The sequence below is a fragment of the Homo sapiens genome, chromosome 14 (genome assembly GCF_000001405.40).
Source record: "Homo sapiens chromosome 14, GRCh38.p14 Primary Assembly".
Taxonomy (NCBI): domain Eukaryota; kingdom Metazoa; phylum Chordata; class Mammalia; order Primates; family Hominidae; genus Homo; species Homo sapiens.
In genome coordinates, this window is record NC_000014.9 from 34563546 (window position 1) to 34586086 (window position 22541).

Below are 22541 nucleotides of genomic sequence, written 5' to 3' on the forward strand. Positions count from 1 at the left end.
GAGACTGCGTCTCAAAAAAAAAAAAATAAGAAAAAAAAAATATAGTGTTAGAAGTCATATGACTTTATCGATATATTAGAAATTTTAAAACAGCCATTCATTATATACACATAAAGGTTTAAATACATAAAATTACATGATTTGTTTCACATACAATAATACTTTCTACATACCAGATTCTTCAGTAAATTTTTTTTCTTTTTTTTTTTCTGAGATGGAGTATCACTCTGTTGCCCAGACTGGAGTGCAATGGCACCATCTCAGGTCACTGTAACCTCCGCCTCCTGGGTTCAAGTAATTCTCCTGCGTCAGCCTCCCCAGTAGCTGGGATTACAGGTGTCTGCCACCATGCTCAGCTAATTTTTGTATTTTTAGTAGAGACGGGGTTTTGCCATGTTGGCCAGGCTGGTTTTGAACTCCTGATCTCAGGTGATCCGCCTACCTCAGCCTCCCAAAGTGCTGTGATTACAGGCGTGAGCCACTGCGCTGGCCTTTGTTTTGAGACAGAGTCTTGCTTTGTCACCCAGACTAAAGTGCAGTGGCATGATCTTGGCTCAGTGCAACCTCTGCCTCCCGGGTTCAAGCGATCCTTCTGGCTCAGCCTGCTGAGTAGCTGAGATTACAGGCGCGTGCCACCACGCTGGCTAATTTTTTGTATTTTTAGTAGAGACGGGGTTACACTATGTTGGCCAGGCTGGTCTTGAACCCCTGACCTCAGGTGATCTGCCCGCCTTGGCCTCCCAAAGTGCTGGGATTACAGGGGTGAGCCATGGCACCCAGCCTTCACTGTAGGATATTTAACAGCATCCTTGGCCCACCATGTACTGGTAGTAACCATAGAACACCCAGTTGTGATAACCACAAATGTCTCCAGATATTGCAAAATGTCCTCTGGGGGGCAGAATCACCTCTGGTTGAGTACTACTGTTAATAGAACAGTTATCAGAAATCTAAATACAGAGAACTCAGGTCAGAAAGAACTTGAAAAAGTATAGAATCTGGCCAGGCGCGGTGGTTCACGCCTGCAATCCCAGCACTCTGGGAAGCCGAGGTAGGCGGATCACCTGAGGTCAGCAGTTTGAGACCCGCCTGGCCAACATGGTGAAACCCTATCTCTACTAAAAATACAAAAATTAGCTGGGCGTGGTGGTGTGCACCTGTGTCCCAGCTATTCGAGAGGCTGAGGCAGGAGAATTGCTTGAACCCGGGAGGCAGAGGTTGCAGTGAGCTGAGATCACGCCACTGCACTCCAGCCTGGGGCAAAAAGAGTGAAACTAAGTATCAAAAAAAAAAAAAAAAGTATAGAATCTGGAAACTGGACACTGACATCAATCTCTAGAAGGACTCAGCAAACTTTTTGTGTAAAAGGCTAAATAATAAGTATTTTAGGCTGTTTCAACAACTCCATTATGCTACTACATAAAAGCAGCCACAAGCATAAATGAATGAACTTGGCTGCGTTCCAATAAAATTTTACTTACGGATACTTAAATCTGAATTTCATAATTAATACATTTAATACATGTCATGACTTTTTTTTTTTTTTTTTGGAGAAGGAGTCTTGCTCTGTCACCCAGGCTGGACTGCAGTGGCATGATCTCAGCTCGCTGCAAGCTCTGTCTCCCGGGTTCACGCCATTCTCCTGCCTCAGCTTCCCGAGTAGCTGGGACTACAGGCGCCCGCCACCACGCCCGGCTAATTTTTTGTATTTTTAGTAGAGACGGGGTTTCACCGTGGTAGCCAGGATGGTCTCGATCTCCTGACCTCGTGATCTGCCCGCCTTGGCCTCCCAAAGTGCTGGGATTACAGGCGTGAGCCACCGCGCCCGGCTGACATATTCTACCTTAAAGAAAAAAAAAACCCAACCATTTAAAAATGGGAACACCATTCCCTCCTCACAGACTACAAAAGCAGGTGGGCTGTAGTTTACCAACCCCTGATCTACAGCAAAACTTTTGGTAGTTCATGACCTCTTTGTTTTTATTTTTAGACACAGAATCTCACTCTGTCGCCCAAGCTGGAGTGCAGTGGCGCAATCTTGGCTCACGGCAACCTCCGCCTCCCGGGTTCGAGCGATCGTCTCGCCTCAGCCTCCGGAGAAGCTGGGATTACAGGCGTGCACCACTATGCCTGGCTGATTTTTTTTTTTTCTTTTTTATTTTGAGACGGAGTCTCACTCTGTCTCCCAGGCTGGAGTGCAGTGACGCAATCTTGGCTCACTGCAAGCTCCGCCTCCCGGGTTCATGCCATTCTCCTGCCTCAGCCTCCTGAGTAGCTGGGACCACAGGCGCCCGCCACCATGCCTGGTTAATTTTTTGTATTTTTAGTAGAGATGGGGTTCCACCGTGTTAGCCAGGATGGCCTCGATCTCCTGACCTCGTGATCCACCCGCCTCGGCCTCCCAAAGTGCTGGGATTACAGGCGTGAGCCACCACGCCTGGCTGATTTTTGTATTTTTAGTAGAGGACAGGGTTTCACCATGTTGGCTTGCGGTCTCGAACTCCTGACCTCAAGGGCTGGGATTAAAGGCATGAGCCACTGTGCCCAGCCTCTCTTTAAAAAAAAAGAAAAACAATGAACATTAGAAACCAGCTCAGGCTCAGTAAGAGTAATAATGTCAAACTTATCAAAACATTTTGACAGGGTTATTAGACCAAGAAATCAAAAAACAAAAACAGCAAATGTTAAATAAATTTTTCTTTTTGGCATCCAGGCTGCACTGCAGTGGCACAATCTTGGCTCACGCAGCCTCTGCCTCCTGGGTTTAAGCAACTGTCCTGCCTCAGCCTCCCAAGTAGCTGGGATTACAGGCGCCCACCACCACGCCCAGCTAATTTTTATATTTTTAGTAGAGATGAGGTTTCACCATGTTGGCCAGGCTGGTCTTGAACACCTGACCTCAGATAATCCACCCGGTCTTGGCCTCCCAAAGTGTTGGGATTACAGGCGTGAGCCACCGCACCCAGCCTAATTTTTAAATGTTTTTATTAAGAAAGACTTTTTAAAAAACAACTAGTCAAAAAATGATACTGGTTTCCATATTAGGTATTAGATTCTTTCAGAGCTGACCATTGGAGACGTTATAGATATTATTTTTACTTTAATTAAATAATCTTTAAAATCCCTCTCAATTCTAAGATTCTCTATTCTTAAAATTACTATAAGGTTTAGGCCAAACTTTCTATTAACTACAAGAAGAGGCTTAATTCAAAGTAAACAACTAACGTGAAAAAAGACCAGAGGGCCAGGCATGGTGGCATACACCTGTAATCCCAGCTACTCGGGAGGCTGAGGCAGGAGGATTAACTGAGCCCAGGAGTTTGATGCTATCCTGGACAACACAGCAAGACTCCAGCTCTAAAACATAATTAAATAAATACATTTTCAAAAAACCTGGCCGGGCATGGTGGCTGATGCCTGTAATCTCAGCACTACGGGAGGCCGAGGCAGGTGTATCACCTCATGTCAGGAGTTCGAGACCAGTCTGGCTAACATGGTGAAAACCCTGTCTCTACTAAAAATACAAAAATTAGCTGGGTGTGGTGGCACGCACCTGTAGTCCTAGCTACTCGGGAGGCTGAGGCAGAAGAGTTGCTTGAACCTGGGAAGCAGAGGTTGCGGAGGTCTCAAAACAAAACAAAACAAAAAAGCCCCAGACTAGCCGGGTACGGTGGCTCGTGTCTGTAATCTCAGCACTTTGGGAGGCTGAGGCAGGAGGATCATTTGAGGACGGGATTTCGAGATAAGCCTGACCAACATGGTGAAACCCTGTCTCTACTAAAAATACAAAAATTACCCAGGTGTGGTGGCACATACCTGTAATCCCAGCTACTAAGGAGGCTGAGGCGTGAGAATCGCTTGAACCCGGGAAGCAGAGGTTGCAGTGAACTGAGATCATTGCCACTGCACTCCAGCCTGGGCAATAGCGCCAGACTCTGTCTCAAAAAAACAAAACAAAACAAAAAACCCAGACCAACTATTTTGAAGCAGTGAAATAATCTTGGAAAATGTAATTCCAGTTCAGGAATAGTTGTCACAGTATCCCTATGAGAACTGACATTAAAGAATTATCAATGTCATAACTGATTCATTTCTATATTACATGTAACTTAAATTATTAAATCTTTATTACAACACTACCTTTGCATGCTTCAGTTCTAACTCTGCCAGTTCCACTAAATTTTTTCTGAATGCAGCAACTCTTCTTGTCTTAAAATCTATAAGTTCTGTGAAAAAGAAATTAGGATTATTTAATTTACATAATAGTCATAAAGCATATCTTGTGATTAAAGGTTAACGTAACAGTACCTTGTTTTGCAGACTCAGATATTTTTTCAAATTTCTGACAACATAATTGTTGGGAAGTTTCGGCCTGTAGAACATCTTTATTTTTTGCTCTTGCTTTATCCAGTGCTTTATTAGCATTTTCATAATCCACTAGTGACCTAGACCTTCGATACAGGAGATCCTATAAAACAGAATGCTTCACAATAGTATATATACTGCATGTTTCCAGTAGTCACACCCAGCCACCACTGTCACCACCACCACAACCATCAGAGCTAACACATAGTGAATACTACATGCCAGTTACTCCAATTTTTTTTTTTTTTTTTGAGGTGGAGTTTTGCTCTTGTGGCCCAGGCTGGAATGCAATGGCGTGATCTTGGCTCACCGCAACCTCTGAATTTTTTTTTTTTTTTTAAGACGGATTCTCGCTCTGTCACCAGGCTGGAGTGCAGTGGCGCGATCTCAGCTCACTGCAACCTCCACCTCGCAGATTCAAGCAATTCTCCTGCCTCAGTCTCCCGAGTAGCTGAGACTACAGGTGCACGCCACCACGCCTGGCTAATTTTTGTAGTTTTAGTAGAGATGGGGTTTCACCACGTTAGCCAGGATGGTCTCGATCTCTTGACCTCGTGATCCACCCGCCTCGGCCTCCCAAAGTTATTCTAATATTTAAAGATTTTTGTAGAGACGGGGCCTCACTATGTTGCCCAGGCAGGTCTCAAACTCCTGGCCTCAAAGTGATCCCCCTATTTCAGCCTGCTAAAGTGGATTACAAGCGTGAGCCACTGCACTCAGCCTGTTTTTTTTTTTTTTTTAACGAATGAGGCAATTTATTAACCCAGCATGGTTTGTTCTAATGCTTCTTGTTGGCAACTGCCACCTGTCCAGCGATTCTGTCCAGATCTCTCTGTCCCTGACGTGTCAGTTTGCGGCCCCCATCTTGGTCCTTTTCCACCATTTTTAGCCCCTCCAGGGCTTGGAGGACCCGGTGGGCCACATTCTTGGAGCCTCGGCTAAAGTGGCCAGGCATGCCGCCACTTCTCTGACATCCCCCATAGATCTTGGTCATGGAGCCAACCCCAGCGCCACCCCAGAGGTACAGGTGCCACGCTGTGGAAGCAGCTCGCGTGTACAACCAGTTCTCATCGTAGGGAGCAAGCTCTTTGTGCTTGGCCAGCAGCTTGACGGTGTCCACCCATTCGGGGACTTTCAGCTTCCCAGACTTTCTGAGGAAGGCTGCCAGAGCTCTGATGAACTCCTGCTGGTTCACATCTTTTACAGTAACTCCAGGCATCATGCGGCCCGGCCTGTGCACTGCCAGCCAGGGGAAAGGGCTCAGTCCGTTTTTTTAAGTAACAGCTTGATAGTCCATGTACCACATAACTCACAATTTAAAATATGTAATTCAATGGTTTTTAGCAAGCTCACAGAACTGAGGATCACCATAATCGATTTTAGAACACTTTCATCACCCAAAAAGAAACCCCATGCCCATTAACAGCCACTTGCCATTTCCCCATGTGTGCCCATATCCCTAGACGACTGCTAATTTGCTGCCTACTACAGATTTGCCTATTCTGGACATGTTTTTTTTTTTTGTTTTTTGTTTTGAGATGGAGTCTCACTCTGTTGCTTAGGCTGGAGTGCGGTGGTGTGAACTCGGCTCACTACAACCTCCACCTCCCGGTTCAAGTGATTCTCCTGCCTCAGCCTCCTGAGTAGCTGGGACTACAGGCGTGTGCCACCAAGCCTGGCTAATTTTTGTACTTTTAGTAGAGATGGGGATTCACCTATTCTGGACATTTCATAAAAATGGAATAGTGTGATTTTTGTGCCTAGCTTCTGCCACTTAGCATGTTTCAAGTTCATCTATGTTGTAGCACAAATCAATATTTCACTCCTTTCTACTGCTGAGTAGTATTTCACTGTATGGTTATATCACATTAATTCATCAGTTGATAGGCATTTGGTTTATTACCACTTTTTGGATATAATTAATAATGCTGCTGTGAACATTTGCATACAAGTGTTTATGTGGACATGGTTTCATTTCTCACTATTAAGGAATGAAATCACTGAGTCATATGGTAACTCTACATCAAACCTTTGAGTAACTGCCATATGGTTTTCCATAGTGGCTGAACATTTTACATTCCTACCAACACCATATGAGAGTTCAAATTTTGTCACTCACATCCTTGCCAACACTTATTTTGTTTTTTTGGGGTTTTTTTTTTTGTTTCATTTTTGGAGATGGAGTTTCGCTGTTTTTGCCCAGGCTGGAGTGCAATGGCGCGATCTCAGCTCACCGCAACCTCTGCCTCCTGGGTTCAAGCAATTCTCCTGCCTCAGCCTCCAGAGTACCTTGAGATTACAGGCATGTGCCACCACGCCTGGCTAATTTTGTATTTTTAGTAGAGACAGGGTTTCTCCATGGTCATGCTGGTCTTGAACTCCCGACCTCAAGTAATCTGCCCACCTCTGCCTCCCAAAGTGCTGGGATTACAGGTGTGAGCCACTGTGCCTGGTCTTACCAGCTTTTTTTTTTTTTAAATGAAGGCCACCTTGTGGGTATAAAGTGATATCTCACATTTTTTTTTTCCTGAGACTGAGTCGTGCTCTGTCATCCAGGCTGGAGTGCAGTGGTGCGATCTCGGCTCAGGGCAACCTCTGCTTCCCAGATTCAAGCAATTCTCCACCTCAGCCTCCCAAGTAGCTGGGATTACAGGTGCCTGCCACCATACCTGGCTAATTTTTTTGTATTGTTAGTAGAGACAGGGTTTCACCATGTTGGCCAGGCTGGTCTTGAACTCTCAACCTCGTGATCCACCTGCCTCAGCCTCCCAAAATGCTGGGATTACGGGTGTGAGCCACCGCACCTGGCCTTCTCTTTTTTTTTTTTTTTTGAGATGGAGTCTCACTGTGTCGCCCAGGCTGGAGTGCAGTGGTGCAATCTTGGTTCACTGCAAGTTCTGCCTCCCGGGTTCATGCCATTCTCCTGCCTCAGCCTCCCGAGTAGCTGGGACTACAGGCGCCCACCACCACGCCCGGCTAATTTTTTTGTATTTTAGTAGAGATGGGGTTTCACTGTGTTAGCCAGAATGGTCTCGATCTCCTGACCTCGTGATCCGGCCCCCTTGGCTTCCCAAAGTACTGGGATTACAGACGTCAGCCACCGCACCTGGCCCCAGCCTTCTCTTTTTATTAAGAGTTCTTCATATATTCTGAGAATATAAATTGTGTTACATCCAGACAATGGAATATTATTCAGCACTAAGAAGAAATGAGCTATCAAGCCATGAAAAGACATAGAAGAGGCCAGGTGCAGTGGCTCACGTCTGTAATCCCAGCACTTTGGGAGGCTGAGGCAGGTGGATCACGAGGTCAGGAGATCAAGACCATCCTGGCTAAAACGGTGAAACCCCGTCTGTACTAAAAATACAAAAAATTAGCCGGGCGTGGTGGTGGGCGCCTGCAGTGCCAGCTACTTGGGAGGCTGAGGCAGGAGAATGGCGTGAACATGGGAAATGGAGATTACAGTGAGCCGAGATCATGCCACGGCACTCCAGCCTGGGTGACAGAGTGAGACTCCGTCTCAAAAAAAAACAACAACAAAAAACGGAAAGACACAGAAGAAACTTAAGCGCATGTAACTAAATGCAAGAAGCCCACCTGAAAACACTATATACTACATGATTCCAACTATATAACATTCTAGAAAAAGTAAAACTATGGAGACAGTAAAAAGATCAGTGGCTGCCAGGGATTGGGAGAAAGGAGGATGAAGGGAGAGAGCACAGAGGATTTTTAGGACAACAAAAATACTGTGTATAATATTATAATGGTGGGCACATATCATGCATCCACAGCACATTTCTTTTTATTACTGAGTACTATTCCATTGTATGGCTATATAACAATGTGTTTATCTCATCATCCATTGAATATTTGCGTTGTCAATTTTCAGCTGTTACAAATAAAGCTGCTGTGAACACCTGTATGGACATATGCTTTCATTTCTTTCTTTCCTTCTTTTCAATAGAGATAGGATTGGGCTATGTTGCCAGGCTGGTCTTGAATTCCTGGCCTCCAGAAATCCTTCTGGCTTGGCCTCCCAAAGGATAACAGGGGTGAGCCACCACGCCCAGCCCTGCTTTCATTTCTCTTGGGTAAATACCTAGAAGTGAACTGACTGGATCACTGGATAGTATATTTCGCCTTTTAAGAAACTATGAAGTTTTCCAAGGAAGTGCACCACATTCCTTATATTAACAGTATATGATGGTTTAAGTTGGTATGTATCTTTGCCAGAATTTTTCTCATTTTAGCCATTCTAATTAAGGTGTACAGTGATACCTTGTTGTAGTTTTAATTCTGACAACTAAATTTTAATTATTTCTTAAAGTTACTAAGAAATTGTTATCTATTAACGACCACATTTGGCTGGGAACAGTGGCTCACAACTATAATCCCAACACCTTGGGAGGCCGAGGCGGGTGGATAACTTGAGCCCAGGAGTTTGCAACATAGTGAGACACTTGTCTCTGCAAAAAATTAAAACAAAAAACAACCACATTTGATAATTTAAAGTCTTCAAAAGTGAGTATTTTAGCACTGCCCATCCAATGTAAATAGTTTATAAGATATAATTTGATATGAACAGTGTATTTATAAGTACCTAAGAATTCAAAGTTAAAGGGTTATAGATAATTTAATAAAAATTATCAGCATCAGTGATCAGGTGGGAATTTTGTGTACAATATCTCAATTCACAAATTAACATTGAATTTGCATTATCTGATCCACTAAGTTTTCAGTGCTTTTCAGTTATTTGTGTTTTTTTTGTTTTTTTTTGTTTTTTTTGAGATGGAGTCTCGCTCTGTCCCCCAGGCCGGAGTGCCGTGGCGCGATCTCGGCTCACTGCAAGCTCCGCCTCCTGGGTTCATGCCATTCTCCTGCCTCAGCCTCCCGACTAGCTGGGACTACAGGCACCCACCAGCATGCCCGGCTAATTTTTTGTATTTTTTTAGTAGAGACGGGGTTTCACTGTGTTAGCCAGGATGGTCTTGATCTCCTGACCTCGTGATCCACCCGCCTAAGCCTCCCAAAGTGCTGGGATTACAGGTGTGAGCCACCGCACCTGGCCTCGTGTTAACTTTTTTAAAAGACAAGGTCTTACTCTGTTGTCCAGGCAACAGTATACAGTGGCAATCACGGCTCACTGCAGCTTTGAACTCCTGGGCTCAAGCAATCCTCCTGTGTCAGCCTCCCCTGGGACTACGGGAACACACCACCATGGCCTAGCTAATTTTCAAAATATTTTGTAGACATAGAATGTCATTTTGTTGCCTAGGCTGGTCTTGAACTCCTGGCCTCATGTGATTTTCCCACACTGGCCTCCCTAAGTGTTGGGATCACAGGCATAAGTCACAGTACCCAGCCAAAAAAACTTTTTGAGGCCAGGCGGGATGGTTCACGCCTGTAATCCTAGCACATTGGGAGGCTGAGGCTGGTGGATCACTTAAGGTAAGGAGTTCGAGACCAGCTTGGCCAACATGGTGAAACCCCGTATCTACTAAAAATACAAAAATTATCCAGGCATGGTGGCAAGTGCCTGTAGTCCCAGCTACTCAGGACGCGGAGGCAGGAGAATGGCTTGAACCCAGCAGGCAGAGGTTGCCATAACCCAAGATCATGCCACTGCACTCCAGCCTGGGCAACAGGGCGAGACTCTGCCTTAAAAAAAAAACAAATTGTTTTTGGTTAGTGTTTTAGTCTTGCACACAGCTTTTTTTTTTTAATTAATTAATTTATTTTTTTCGAGACGGAGTCTCGCTTTGTCGCCCAGGCTGGAATGCAATGGCGCGGTCTCGGCTCACTGCTACCTACCTCCCTCTCCTGGGTTCAAACAATTCTCCTGCCTCAGCCTCTGGAGTAGCTGTGATTACAGGTGCCTGCTACCATGCCTGGCTAATTTTTGTATTTTTAGTAGAGACGGGGTTTCACTATGTTGGCCAGGCTGCTCTCGAACTGCTGACCTTGTGATCCACCCTCCTCAGCCTCTCAAAGTGCTGGGATTACAGGCATGAGCCACTGCGCCCAGGAGCACATGGCCTTTTAAAAGGAAACATGAGTTGCCTTATAAAAAAGCGTATTTTTGTTTTATGGCACTCTCATGCTCAATGGAGGACTTGCATAGACCAAATAGAAATCCTTTTGCGGCCGGGTGTGGTAGCTCATGCCTGTAATCCCAGCACTTTGGGAGGCCGAGGTGGGGGGATCACGGGGTCAGGAGTTCGAGACCAGCCTGGCCAATATGGTGAAACTCCATCTCTACTAAAAATACAAAAATTAGCCAGGCGCGGTGGCGGGCACCTGTAATCCCAGCTACTTGGGAGGCTGAGGCAGGAGAATCACTTGAAGCCGGGAGGCGGAGGTTGCAGTGAGCTGCAATCATGCCACTGCACTCCAGCTTGGGTAACAGAGCTAGAGTCCACCTCAAAAAAAAAAAAAAGAGAAAAAAAGAAATCCTTTCGCAGTATGTGGCTCATGCCTGTTAATTCCAGCACTTTGGGAGGCCAAGGCATGCAGATCACCTGAGGTCAGGAGTTCGAGACCAGCCTGGCCAACATAGGGAAATCCCGCCTCTACTAAAAATACGAAAACTAGCTGGGTGTGGTGGCACAAGCCTGTAATCCCAGCTACTCAGGAGGCTGAGGCAGGAAAACCGCTTGAACCCAGAAGGAAGAGGTTACAGTTGGGTGACAGAGTGAGACTCCATCTCAAAAAAAAAAAAAAAAAAAAAAAGAAAGAAATCCTTTAGCAATACAACTGTTATTCCAGGGTTTTGTTTTCCAAGACATTTTACCTGAAGAAATATACCAAATTCATTTTTTTTTTAAGACGGAGTTGGGGTTTCTCCATGTTGATCAGGCTGGTCTCGAACTCCCAAACTCAGGTGATCCACCCGCCTCGGCCTCCCAAAGTGCTGGGATTACAGGCGTAAGCCACTGCGCCCGGCCAGCTCCTGCTTTTTTCTTTTTCTTTGTTTTTATTTATTATTATTATTTTTTGAGACAGAGTTTCACTCTTGTTGCCCAGGCTGCAGTGCAATGGCGTGATATCTGCTCACTGCAACCTCCACCTCCTGCGTTCAAGCAATTCTCCTGCCTCAGCCTCCCAAGTAGCTGGGACTACAGGCGCCCACCACCATGCCCGGCTAATTTTTGTATTTTTAGTAGAGATGGGGTTTCACCATGTTGGCCAGGGTGGTCTCGAACTCCTGATCTCAGGTGATCCACCACCTCAGCCTCCCAAAGTGCTGATTAATTAGAGGCATGAGCCACCACCCCTGGCCTCAATTTTTTTTTTTTTTTTTTTGAGACAGAGTTTCGCTCCTGTTGCCCAGGCTGGAGTGCAATGGCACGCGATCTCAGCTCACTGCAACCTCTGCCTCCCGGGTTCAAGTGATTCTCCCACCTCAGCCTCCCAAGTAGCTGGGATTACAGGCACCCGCCACCATGCCAGCTAATTTTTGTATTTTTAGTAGAGACAGGGTTTCATCATGCTAGCCAGGCTGGTCTTGAACTCCTGACGTCAGGTGATCCTCTGGCCTCGGCCTCCCCAAGTGTTGGGATTACAGGCGTGAGCCACCACACCTGACCACAAATTCATTTTTTTAAAGTTCTAGATTATATCAGAAGTATAATAAAGAGGAAACTTTTATGTAGGGTTTCCCACATGAAATATGTACAATTATACACATATATACAATTTCTAAAAGGAGAAATAGAATTCATATTTGAAAATATAATTTAAAATCATATAAAGGAGATAAATCATCATTAACAATCTGAAGTCTAACAAACTCAAGAAATGGCTGTTTGTAAAATGGCTCATTTAAAAAAAGATTAAAATTACCTTAGCAGCTTGAGATTCTCTTAAGTAATATTTTAAAAGATCAGAAAGTTTGAGGTCTTCATCAGCAGACACTCGTGCTTCTATTTTCTGAAAAGAAGGAAAAAATTGAATATTTAATCAACAACTACATTCTCCTCTCAGTGGTTTCCTTCTTTTTGTTGTTGTTGTTTTTTTGTTTTTTTTTTTGAGACGGAGTCTTGCTCTGTCACCCAGGCTGGAGTGCAGTGGCGCTATCTTGGCTCACTGCAAGCTCCGCCTCCTGGGTTCACGCCATTCTCCTGCCTCAGCCTCCCGAGCAGCTGGGACTACAGGCGCCCGCCACCACGCCCGGCTATTTTTTTTGTATTTTTTAGTAGAGACGGGGTTTCACCATGTTAGCCAGGATGGTCTCAATCTCCTGACCTCGTGATCTGCCCGCCTCAGCCTCTCAAAGTGTTGGGATTACAGGCGTGAGCCACCGCGCCCGGCCTCGTTTCCTTCTTAATTACTTAATTTCCTACTTAATTTTAACTATTATTATAGTTTAAAAAATTGAAGTTTTAACTATAGTATCCATTCCTATTTTATTGAGCTTTCCTTCCCTTTTTGCTTCTACCAGCCTGTTACTTTTCTTTGCAACTCTCACATAAAATGAACAGAAAAAAGATCAAATGAGACTCGTGAGTTTATGGAAGGACACCATATATATATATATATATTTTTTTTTTTTTTGAGACAGAGTCTTACTCTGTCACCCAGGCTGGAATGCAGTGGCGCAATCTCGGCTCACTGCAACCTCTGCTTCCCAGGTTCAAGCAATTCTCCTGCCGCAGCCTCCCGAGTAGCTGGAATTACAGGCATGCACTGCCACGCCTGGCTAACTTTTGTATTTTTAGTAGAGGTGGGGTTTCACTATGTTGGCCAGGCTGGTCTCAAACTCCTGACCTCAAATGATCCTCCTGCCTCAGCCTTCCAAAGTGCTGGGATTACAGGTGTGAACCACCATGCCCAGTCAGACTCTATAATGAGTTTCAATATGATCTTTTACCTTCATTAATATTTTCTCAGGCTGGGTATGGTGGCTCATGCCTGTATTCCTGGCACTTTGGGAGGCCGAGGCGGGCGGATCATGAGGTCGGGAGTTCGAGACCAGCCTGACCAACATGGTGAAACCCCGTCTCTACTAAAAATACAAAAATTAGCCAGGCATGGTGGTGCATGCCTGTAATCCCAGCTACTCAGAAGGCTGAGGTTGCAGTGAGCCAAGATTGAGCCACTACATTCCAGCCTGGGTGACAGAGCGAGAGACTGTCTCAAAAAACAAAAAACAAAACAAAAAAAAACTTTCTAGGTATTTCTTTCTTTTCCAGACGAAGTCTTGCTCTGTTGCCAGGCTGGAGTACAGTGGCATGATCTCAGCTCCCTACAACCTCGGCCTCCTGGGTTCAAGCGATTCTCCTGCCTCAGCCTCCCTAGTAGCTGGGATTACAGGTGCACGTCACCAAGCTTGGCTAATTTTTTTGTATTTTTTTTTAGTAGAGACGGGGTTTTGTCTTGTTAGCCAGGCTGGTCTCGAACTCCTGACCTCAGGTGACCCACCCACCTCAGCCTCCCAAAGTGCTGGGATTACAGATGTGAGCCGCTGTGCCCAGCCTCTATTCATTTCAATTGTAATTGATATGTACACACAATTTTAAAGGAATGAAGGCTTGCAATGGTAGACTAGGTAATTCAATCTAATCCTCCTGCTGAAGACAGCTAGAAAATGCAGTCAAAGCTTTAGTAAAATGTGCCTGAAGACACCACAGAGTAATAACCAGAAGTGGTATGTTTGAGGTGAGATGGAAGGGGAAGTAGCCAGGTCAGACTAAAAAGATAGCTCTTCAGTATGACGGGACAGAGGATGAAAAGAAATTTATTATATCAACCAAATGCAATATATGGGACCTTGTTTGTATCCTGACTCAAACAAGCTATACTATAATAAAAAGCCATTTATGAGACAATTGGGAAAATGTACATACTGGATATTTGATGACATTAAGGGAGAATCATTAGTAACAGTATTGACTATATTAAAAATAATTCTTATACTAAAAAAAGAGATAGGTATGCATAAAGGACACAGAATGAAGACAGACTTTTTGGAATGTAAGAACTTTAAGCAATGTAGAAAATGTTAATATTGGCCAGGTGCAGTGGCTCACATCTGTAATCCCAGCACTACGGGAGGACAAGGCAGGTGGATCATTTGAGGTCAGGAGTTCGAGACCAGCCTGGCCAACATGGTGAAACCCCACCCCCCCGTCTCTACATAAAAATTAGCTAGGAGTGGCAGCAATGCCTGTAATCCCAGGTACTTGGGAGGCTGAGGCATGAGACTCACTTGAGCCCAGGAGGCAAAGGTTGCAGTGAGCCAAGATCGTTCCACTGCACTCCAGCTTGGGTGACAGAGCAAGACTCTGTCTCAAAACAAACAAACAAACAAAAATACAAAAGGGAAAATGTTAATATTCAGAAACCTGGATGATGCATTACAGGGATTCTTGTACTATTTTCTGCAACTTTTCTGTAAGTCTGAAATTACCGCCAAAATAAAAAATTAAAGTAAGGCTGGCACCTTAATAAGGCTCATGCCTGTAATCCTAGCATTTTGGGAGGCTGAGGTGGGTGGAATACTTGAGGTCAGGAGTTCGAGGCCAGCCTGGCCAACATGGTGAAACCCATCTCTACTAAAGTACAAAAATTAGTTGGGCATGGTGATGTGTGCCTGTAATCCCAGCTACTTGGGAGGCTGAGGCAGGAGAATCACTTGAACCCGGGATGTGGAGGTTGCAGTGAATCAAGATGATGCCACTGCATTCCAGCCTGGGTGACAGAGTGAGATCTGTCTCAAAAAGAAAAAAAAAAAAAAAAAGTTAAGGGGCCAGGTGCGGTGGCTCATGCCTGTAATCCCAGCACTTTGGGAGGCCAAGGTGAGCGGATCACGAGGTCAAGAGATCAAGACCGCCCTGGCCAACATGGTGAAACCCCATCTCTACTAAAAATACAAAAATTAGCTGGGCATGGAGGCGTGCACCTGTAGTCCCAGCTACTCGGGAGGCTGAGGCAGGCGAATTGCTTGAACCTGGGAGGCGGAGGTTTCAGTGAGCCAAGATCGCGCCACTGCACTCCAGCCTGGCGACAGAGCGAGACTTCATCTCAAAAAAAAAAAAAAAAAAAAAAAAAAAAAGGTTAAACTAAAACAACTATACACCTACCAGAATGACAAAAATTATAAAGGTAAAATACTAAGTTTTAACAAGCTTGTAGAACAACCTAAATGCTCATACTCATTCTTGTGGGCATGCAAATTGGTACAATCATTATGGGAAAGTTTTGCAGTTTCTGCTGAAGCTTTTCACGTGGTTATCATATGATCCATCAATTCCCCTCCTAGTTATATATACCCAACAGAATTGTATACTTGTGTTCAGAAGATAAACAATAATCTTAGCAGTATTGTTATAAAGAAGCCCAAACTAGAAACTATCCAAATGCCTATCAACAGCAGAACAGATAAACAAATTAATAAAATACTATACCGCAAGAAGAATAAAGGAACCAAGCCAGGTGGCTCATGCCTGTAATCCCAATGCTTTGAAGGGTGAGGCAGGAATATCAAAAGAGGCCAGGAGTTCAAGACCAGCCTGAGCAATGTAGTGAGACTCCCTCTCTACAAAAATTAGCCAGGCATGGTAACACACATCTGTAGTCCTAACTACTTGGGAGGCTGAGGCAAGAGGATGCTTGAGCTCAAGAGTTTGAGGCTACAATGAGTTATGATCATGCAACTGCACTCCCGCCTGGCCGACAGAGTGAGACCCCGTCTCTAAAACAAAAAGAATAAAGGAACTACATCTATGTGCAACAACATGGTTTAATCCTATGAATATAATGTTGAGTACAAGAAACAGACATAAAAGAATATAAGCCGGGCTCAGTGGCTCACACCTATAATTCCAGCACTTTGCGAGGCTGAGGCAGAATGACTGCCTGAGGCCAGGAGTTTCAGACCAGCCTGGGCAACATAGCAAGACCCTGTCTCTACCAAAAAAAAAAAAAAGAAAGAAAAATAATACATGTTGCACATGCATTTATATTATATATAAAAATAAAAAAGGGGCTGGGCCGAGCACAGTGGCTCATGCCTGTAATTCCAGCACTTTGGGAGGCCGAGGCAGGCAGATCACTTGACATCAGGACTTTGAGACTAGCCTAGCCAACATGGTGAAACCCCATCTCTACTAAAAATACAAAAATTAGCCTGGCGTGGTGGCACATGCCTGTAATCTCAGCTACTCAGGAGGCAAGAGAATCGCTTGAACCTGGGAGGCGAAGGATGCAATGAGCCGAGATCGTGCCACTGCACTCCAGCCTCCGGCCTGGGTGAAAGAGCAAGACTCCGTCTCAAAAACAAACAAACAAACAAAAAACAAAACAAAAAACCCAAATCTCACTGGCAGTGCCTTGAAAGGCAGCTGAGGAGATGAGGAGGAGACAGGGCATCTGGGTTGCTGGTAATTTTCTATTCATTTTCTTTCTTTCTTTGATACAGGGTCTCTGTCACCCAGGCTGGAGTACACTGGCACAATCATAACTCACTATAACCTTGACCTCCTGGGCTCAAGAATCTTCCTGCCTCAGCCTCCCAAGTAGTTAGGACTACAGTTGTGCGCCACCACGCCTGGCTAATTTTTGGTAACTTTTGTAGAGAGGGAGTCTTGCTACATTGCCCAAGCTGGTCGAACTCCTGGCCTCTACTGATCCTCCCACCTCACCCTTCAATGTATGGCATTATGGGCGTGACCCACCTGGCCTGGTTCCTTTATTCTTATTGGTATATAGTATTTAATTAATTTGTTTATCTGTTCCAGGAGGGATTCCATTTTTTTTTTTTTTTAGAGACAGGGTCTCACTCTGTCACCCAGGATGGAGTGCAGATGCACGGTCACAGCTCACTGCAGCCTCAAACTCCTGAGCTCAAGCATCCTCCTGCCTCAGCCTCCCAAGTAGGACTACAGGTTTGCACCACCACACCTAGCTAATTTTTAAACGTTTTGTAGAGGCAGCGTCTTGCTATGTTTTCCCAGGCTGATCTCAAATTCCTGGACTCAAGAGATCCTCCTGCCTCAGCCTCCCAAAGTGCTGGGATTACAAGCGTTAAGTCACTGCACACAGAAGAATATGAACTTTCATACAAATACTTAAAGGCAATAACAAAAAATGGAATTTCCTGAAAAACTCCCAATGGAATCCAAATCTGTTTCATCATCCTTCTGAAGTACACTCATCTTCCTCAATAGAGTTAAACAGAACCATAGCAAGTTAAATATTACCACATGCAGAGATTTAAATCGCCAAACGGTTAACAGTGATTACTCTTTTTATTTTTCTTTGAGACAGAGTCTTGCTCTCTCGCCAGGCTGGAGTGCAGTGGTGCAATCTTGGCTCACTACAACGTTGGCCTCCCGGGTTCAAGCGATTCTTGTGCCTCAGCCTCCCAAGTAGCTGGGACTATAGGCATGCGTCACCACGCCCAACTAATTTTTGTATTTTTAGTAGAGACAGGGTTTCACTATGTTGGCCAGGATGGTCTTGATCTCGTGACCTCGTGATCCGCCCCACTTGGCCTCCCAAAGTGTTGGGATTACAGGCACGAGCCACGTGCCTGGCCAATAGTGATCACTCTTTTAAAAAAATTTTCTGAATTGTGGTAAAAACCTTTAACATGAGCTCTCTCTGGGCACAATATTATGCAGTATATCTCTATAATTTAGTACTTACTCTTGTTTTATCGAACAGTTCTGAAACTTTGAGAAAAAACCTGGAAAGGAAAATATTTTCATCATATTCTACATTCAAAGTAATTTTCCATTTCAAATGTATGAGAATATGCTCCCAAACCATATTAATAACACCTTGTCTCATTGCAGTTATATTCAATAGCCTTATTAACTGCAGACTTCATTTAGTTTGACAAAAATCTCCCTGTACTTCTACCAATAAAACTGATTACTTGAAATCTGTTTACAGATAGACTATCTGTTCATTTGATTTTTGTTTTTTTTTGCGATGGAGTTTCACGCTTGTTGCGCAGAACGGAGTGCAACTGCGCAATCTCAGCTCACTGTAACCTCTGCCTCCCGAGTTCAAGCGATTCTCCAGCCTCAGCCTCCCGAATAGCTGGGACTACAGGCGCCCGCCACCACGCCTAGCTAATTTTTGTATTTTTAGTAGAGTCGGGGTTTTACCATGTTGGCCAGGATGGTCTTGATCTCTTGACCTCGTGATCCGCCCGCCTCGGCCTCCCAAAGTGCTGGGATTACAGGTGTGAGCCACCACGCCCGGCCCTGATTTTTTTTTTTTTTTTTTTGAGTCAGAGTCTGGCTCTGTTGCACAGGCCAGAGTGCAGCGGTGCAACCTCAGCTCACTGCAACCTCTGCCTCCTGGGTTCAAGTGAGTCTCCTGCCTCAGCCTCCTGAGTAGCTGGGATTACAGGCAGCTGCCCCCATGCCTGGCTAACTTTTGTATTTTTAGTAGAAACAAGTTTTCACCTGGTTAAAAATTAGCCAGGTGTGGTGGTGCACACCTGTAGTCCCAGCTATTCGGGAGGCTAAGGTGAAAGGATGGCTTGAGCCCAGGCTCGTCTTGGACTCCTGATCTCAAGTGATCTGCCCGCAGTGGCCTCCCAAACTGCTGAGATTACAGGTGTGAGCCAGAGTGCTGGGCCCCATTTCAAGATGACAGCCTAAGCCATACATTAAACGTGTTTTTGTTGTTGTTGTTGTTATTGAGACTGAATCTCGCTTTCTTGCCCCAGCCGCAGTGCAGTAGCGCCATCTCACTGCAACCTCCACCTCCTGGGTTCAAACGATTCTCCTGCTTCAGCCTCCTAAGTAGCTGGCATTACAGGTGCTCACCAAGCCTGGCTAATTTTTGTATTTTTAGTAGAAATGGGGTTTCGCCATGTTGGCCAGGCTGGTCTCAAACTCCTGGCCTCAAGTGATCTGCCCACCTTGGCCTCCCAAAGTGCTGGGATTACAGGCATGAGTCACTGTGCCCAGCCAACAAAATTTATCTAGATTCATTGTAGCAAATAGGCTGAGGCAAGCAGCTCACTTGAGGCCAGGAGTTTGAGACTAGTCTGGGCAACACAGTGAAACCCTATCTCTACTAAAAATACAAAAAATTAGTGGGGCACGATGGTGCAATCCTGTAATTAAACTACCCTTTAATAGTCTGGTGTTTGGCTGGGTGCGGTGGCTCATGCCTGTAATCCCAGCACTTTGGGAGGCCGAGGTGGGAGGATCATGAGGTCAGGAGATCGAGACCATCCTGGGTAACATGGTGAAACACTGTCTCTACTAAAAATACAAAACAAAATTAGCCTGGCGTGGTGGCACGCGCCTGTAGTCCCAGCTACTTGGGAGGCTGAGGCAGGAGAATGGTGTGAACCCGGGAGGTGGAGCTTGCAGTGAGCCAAGACTGAGCCACTGCACTCCAGCCTGGGCAACAGAGCGAGACTCCGTCTCAAGAACAACTACAAAAAAAATAGTCTGGTGCTGGGATATTTTTTAGTTGGTATCAGCATTTGACAGATAAACTATTTAGTTAAAAGTGAAAATAAATTCTTAAGTAGAAATTGGTTATTCATTTTTTTCTTTTTTTTTTTTTTGAGATGGGCTATCATTCTGTCACCCCGTTCTGGCACAAACCTATGGTCCCAGCTACCCAGGAGGCTGAAGCAAGAGGATTGCTTGAGCACAGGAGTTCAAGGCTGCAGTGCTCTATGACTGCACCTGCGAATAGCTACTGTATGCCAGCCTGAGCCACACAGCAAGATCCACTCTCAAAAAACAAAAAAGGGCACAGGTTCAAGTATTCTGTAAAATATGTAATTAAAATGACATCATAAATGAATTAGGGCAAATACTACTCAAAGCAAAAACAATTTTACGAACTTTGCTTTCACTCAAAAGAACTTGCTTTGACAGATTTACGTTAGAGAACAGATGGCAAGGTTGACTTTTTTCCTTCTTCCTGATAAGAAGAATTAACTCTTTGGGAAGGTGGCTTTTTTTTTTTTTTAAGACGGAGTTTCTCTCTTGTTGCCAAGGCTAGAGTACAATGGCGCAATCTCGGCTCACTGCAACCTCTGCCTCCCAGGTTCAAGCGATTCTCCTGCCTCAGCCTCCTGAGTAGCTGGGATTACAGGCATGCGCCACCACGCCAGGCTAATTTTGTGTTTTTAGTAGAGATGGGGTTTCTCCATGTTGGTCAGGCTGGTCTCCAACTCCTGACCTCAGGTGATTCACCTGCCTTGGCCTCCCAAAGTGCTGGGATTACAGGTGTGAGCCACTGTGCCCGGCTGGTGGCATTTTAATTAGTGTAAGCTATCATACCTTGCTTTGCCAAAAAGCGTGACTTTTAAATATCTGAGACAGAATACACTAGAGAAAAGGTCAAGGATGTGGTTTAGAGAAAGGCATAGACTATGAAAATAGTTTTCCTGCTTAAAAATATGTTTAATTTTTAGTTTTTTTGAAACCAAGTCTTGCTCTGTCGCCCAGGCTGGGGTGCAGTGGTGTGATCTTGGCTCACTGCAATCTCTGCCTCCCAGGTTCAAGTGATTCTCACGCCTCAGCCTCTCAAGTAGCAGGGATTACAGGTGTACACCACCATGTCTAATTTTTGTGTTTTTAGAGAACACGCCACTGCACTCCAGCCTGGGTGACAGAGCAAGACACCGTCTTCCGGGGGGCGGGTGGCAGAATCAATTTCACCTTCAATGAAATACATAAACACATATACATACATACATACATATATATATATTCTAATTCCCAAATGGCAGTTCTTATTTATAAGCTTTATCAAAACTTAAGAACACTCTAACATAAATTCGGTTCTTCCACTCTCTTACACACAAATCAGCCCATTTTCATAAATAAAACACAGTTGGGGAGGAAGAAAAAAAAATATATATAGAGAGAGAGAGTAAAGTCGATTTTTATTTCTCAGATTTAAAAAATAGGACAGAAAGGGAGAAGAAAAAATATCAACCCAAGTTTTTTCTTTTTTCTTTTTTTTTCTGAGATGGAATTTTGCTCTTGTTGCCCAGGCTGGAGTGCAATGCTGTGATCTCGGCTCAACGCAACCTTCGTCTCCTGGGTTTAAGCGATTCTCCTGCCTCAGCCTCCCAAGTAGCTGGGATTACAGACACCTGCCACCACACTTGGCTAATTTTGTATTTTTAGTGGAGACAGGGTTTCTCCATGTTGGTCAGGCTGGTCTCAAACTCCCGACCTGAGGTGTTCTGCCCGCCTCGGCCTCTCAAAGTGCTGAGATTACTGGCGTGAGCCACCATGCCCAGCCCTCAACCCAAGTTTTTAAAGGAGGTCCTTATTATCAATGTGTTTTGACAAAAATATTCCAAAAGTTTTGTATTAGAAGTATTGTTGGCCGGGAGAAGTGGCTCACAGGCTGTAATCCCAGCACTTTGGGAGGCTGAGTCGGGCAGGCCACTTGAAGTCAAGGGCTTGAGACCAGCCTGGCCAATATGGTGAAACCCCATCTCTACTAAAAATACAAGAATTAGCCAGGCATGGTGGCAGGCACCTGTAATCCCAGCTACTTTGGAAGCTGAGGTGGGAGAACTGCTTGAACGTGGAAGGAGAATGTTGCAGAGAGCCATGATCGTGCCACTGCACTCCAGCCTGGGTGACAGAATAAGACCCTGTTTCAAAACAAAAACTAAAACAAAAACCAAAAGTATTGTGTGCATCCAGGCTGCCAATAGAAAATTTTCTCTGCTTTATTTATATTTCATATATATTTTTTGAGATAGTCTTGCTCTGTCACCAGGCTGGAGTGCAGCAGCATGATCTTGGCTCACTGCAACCTCCGCCTCCCGGGTTCAAGTGATTCTTGTGCCTCAGCCTCCCGAGTAGCTAGCTGGGATTACAGGCACACACCACCGACACCTGGGTAATTTTTGTATTTTTTGGTAGAGATAGGGTTTAGCAATGTTGGCCAGGTTGGTCTTGAACTCCGGACCTCAGGTTTTCCACCTCCCAAAGTGCTGGGATTACAGGCATGAGCCACTGTGCCCAGCTATATTTCATGTTTTATTTATTTATTTTTTTTGAGATGGAGTCTCACTCTGTTGCCCAGGCTGGAGTGCAAAGGTGGAATCTCAGCTCACTGCAACCTCTGCCTCCCAGGTTCAAACAATCCCTGCCTCAGCCTCCTGAGTAGCTGGGATTACAGGTGTGTGTCACCCCGCCTGGCTAATTTTTGTATTTTTAGTA

General features: G+C 44.9%; 1 protein-coding gene and 1 pseudogene across 6 annotated transcripts in view; both read right to left on the bottom strand.

The window, feature by feature from the left end:
• The window catches only part of SNX6 (sorting nexin 6), a 69056-nt gene that overhangs the window by 2453 nt on the left and 44062 nt on the right, over nt 1-22541 (bottom strand). For 3 of the 6 annotated variants that reach the window (NM_001366519.1, NM_152233.4, NM_021249.5), the window contains 4 exons: nt 18016-18055; nt 12211-12297; nt 4309-4468; nt 4141-4226 (listed from right to left, as the gene is read on the bottom strand). In NM_001366519.1, the coding sequence (NP_001353448.1) occupies nt 4141-4226; nt 4309-4468; nt 12211-12297; nt 18016-18055 (373 nt within the window). Of the gene's footprint in view, nt 1-4140; nt 4227-4308; nt 4469-12209; nt 12298-18015; nt 18056-22541 lie in introns of those variants that run through there. The other 3 variants (NR_159358.1, NR_159357.1, XM_047431642.1) reach the window with 2 other exon arrangements.
• On the bottom strand, nt 5072-5624 carry RPS19P3 (ribosomal protein S19 pseudogene 3; annotated as a pseudogene).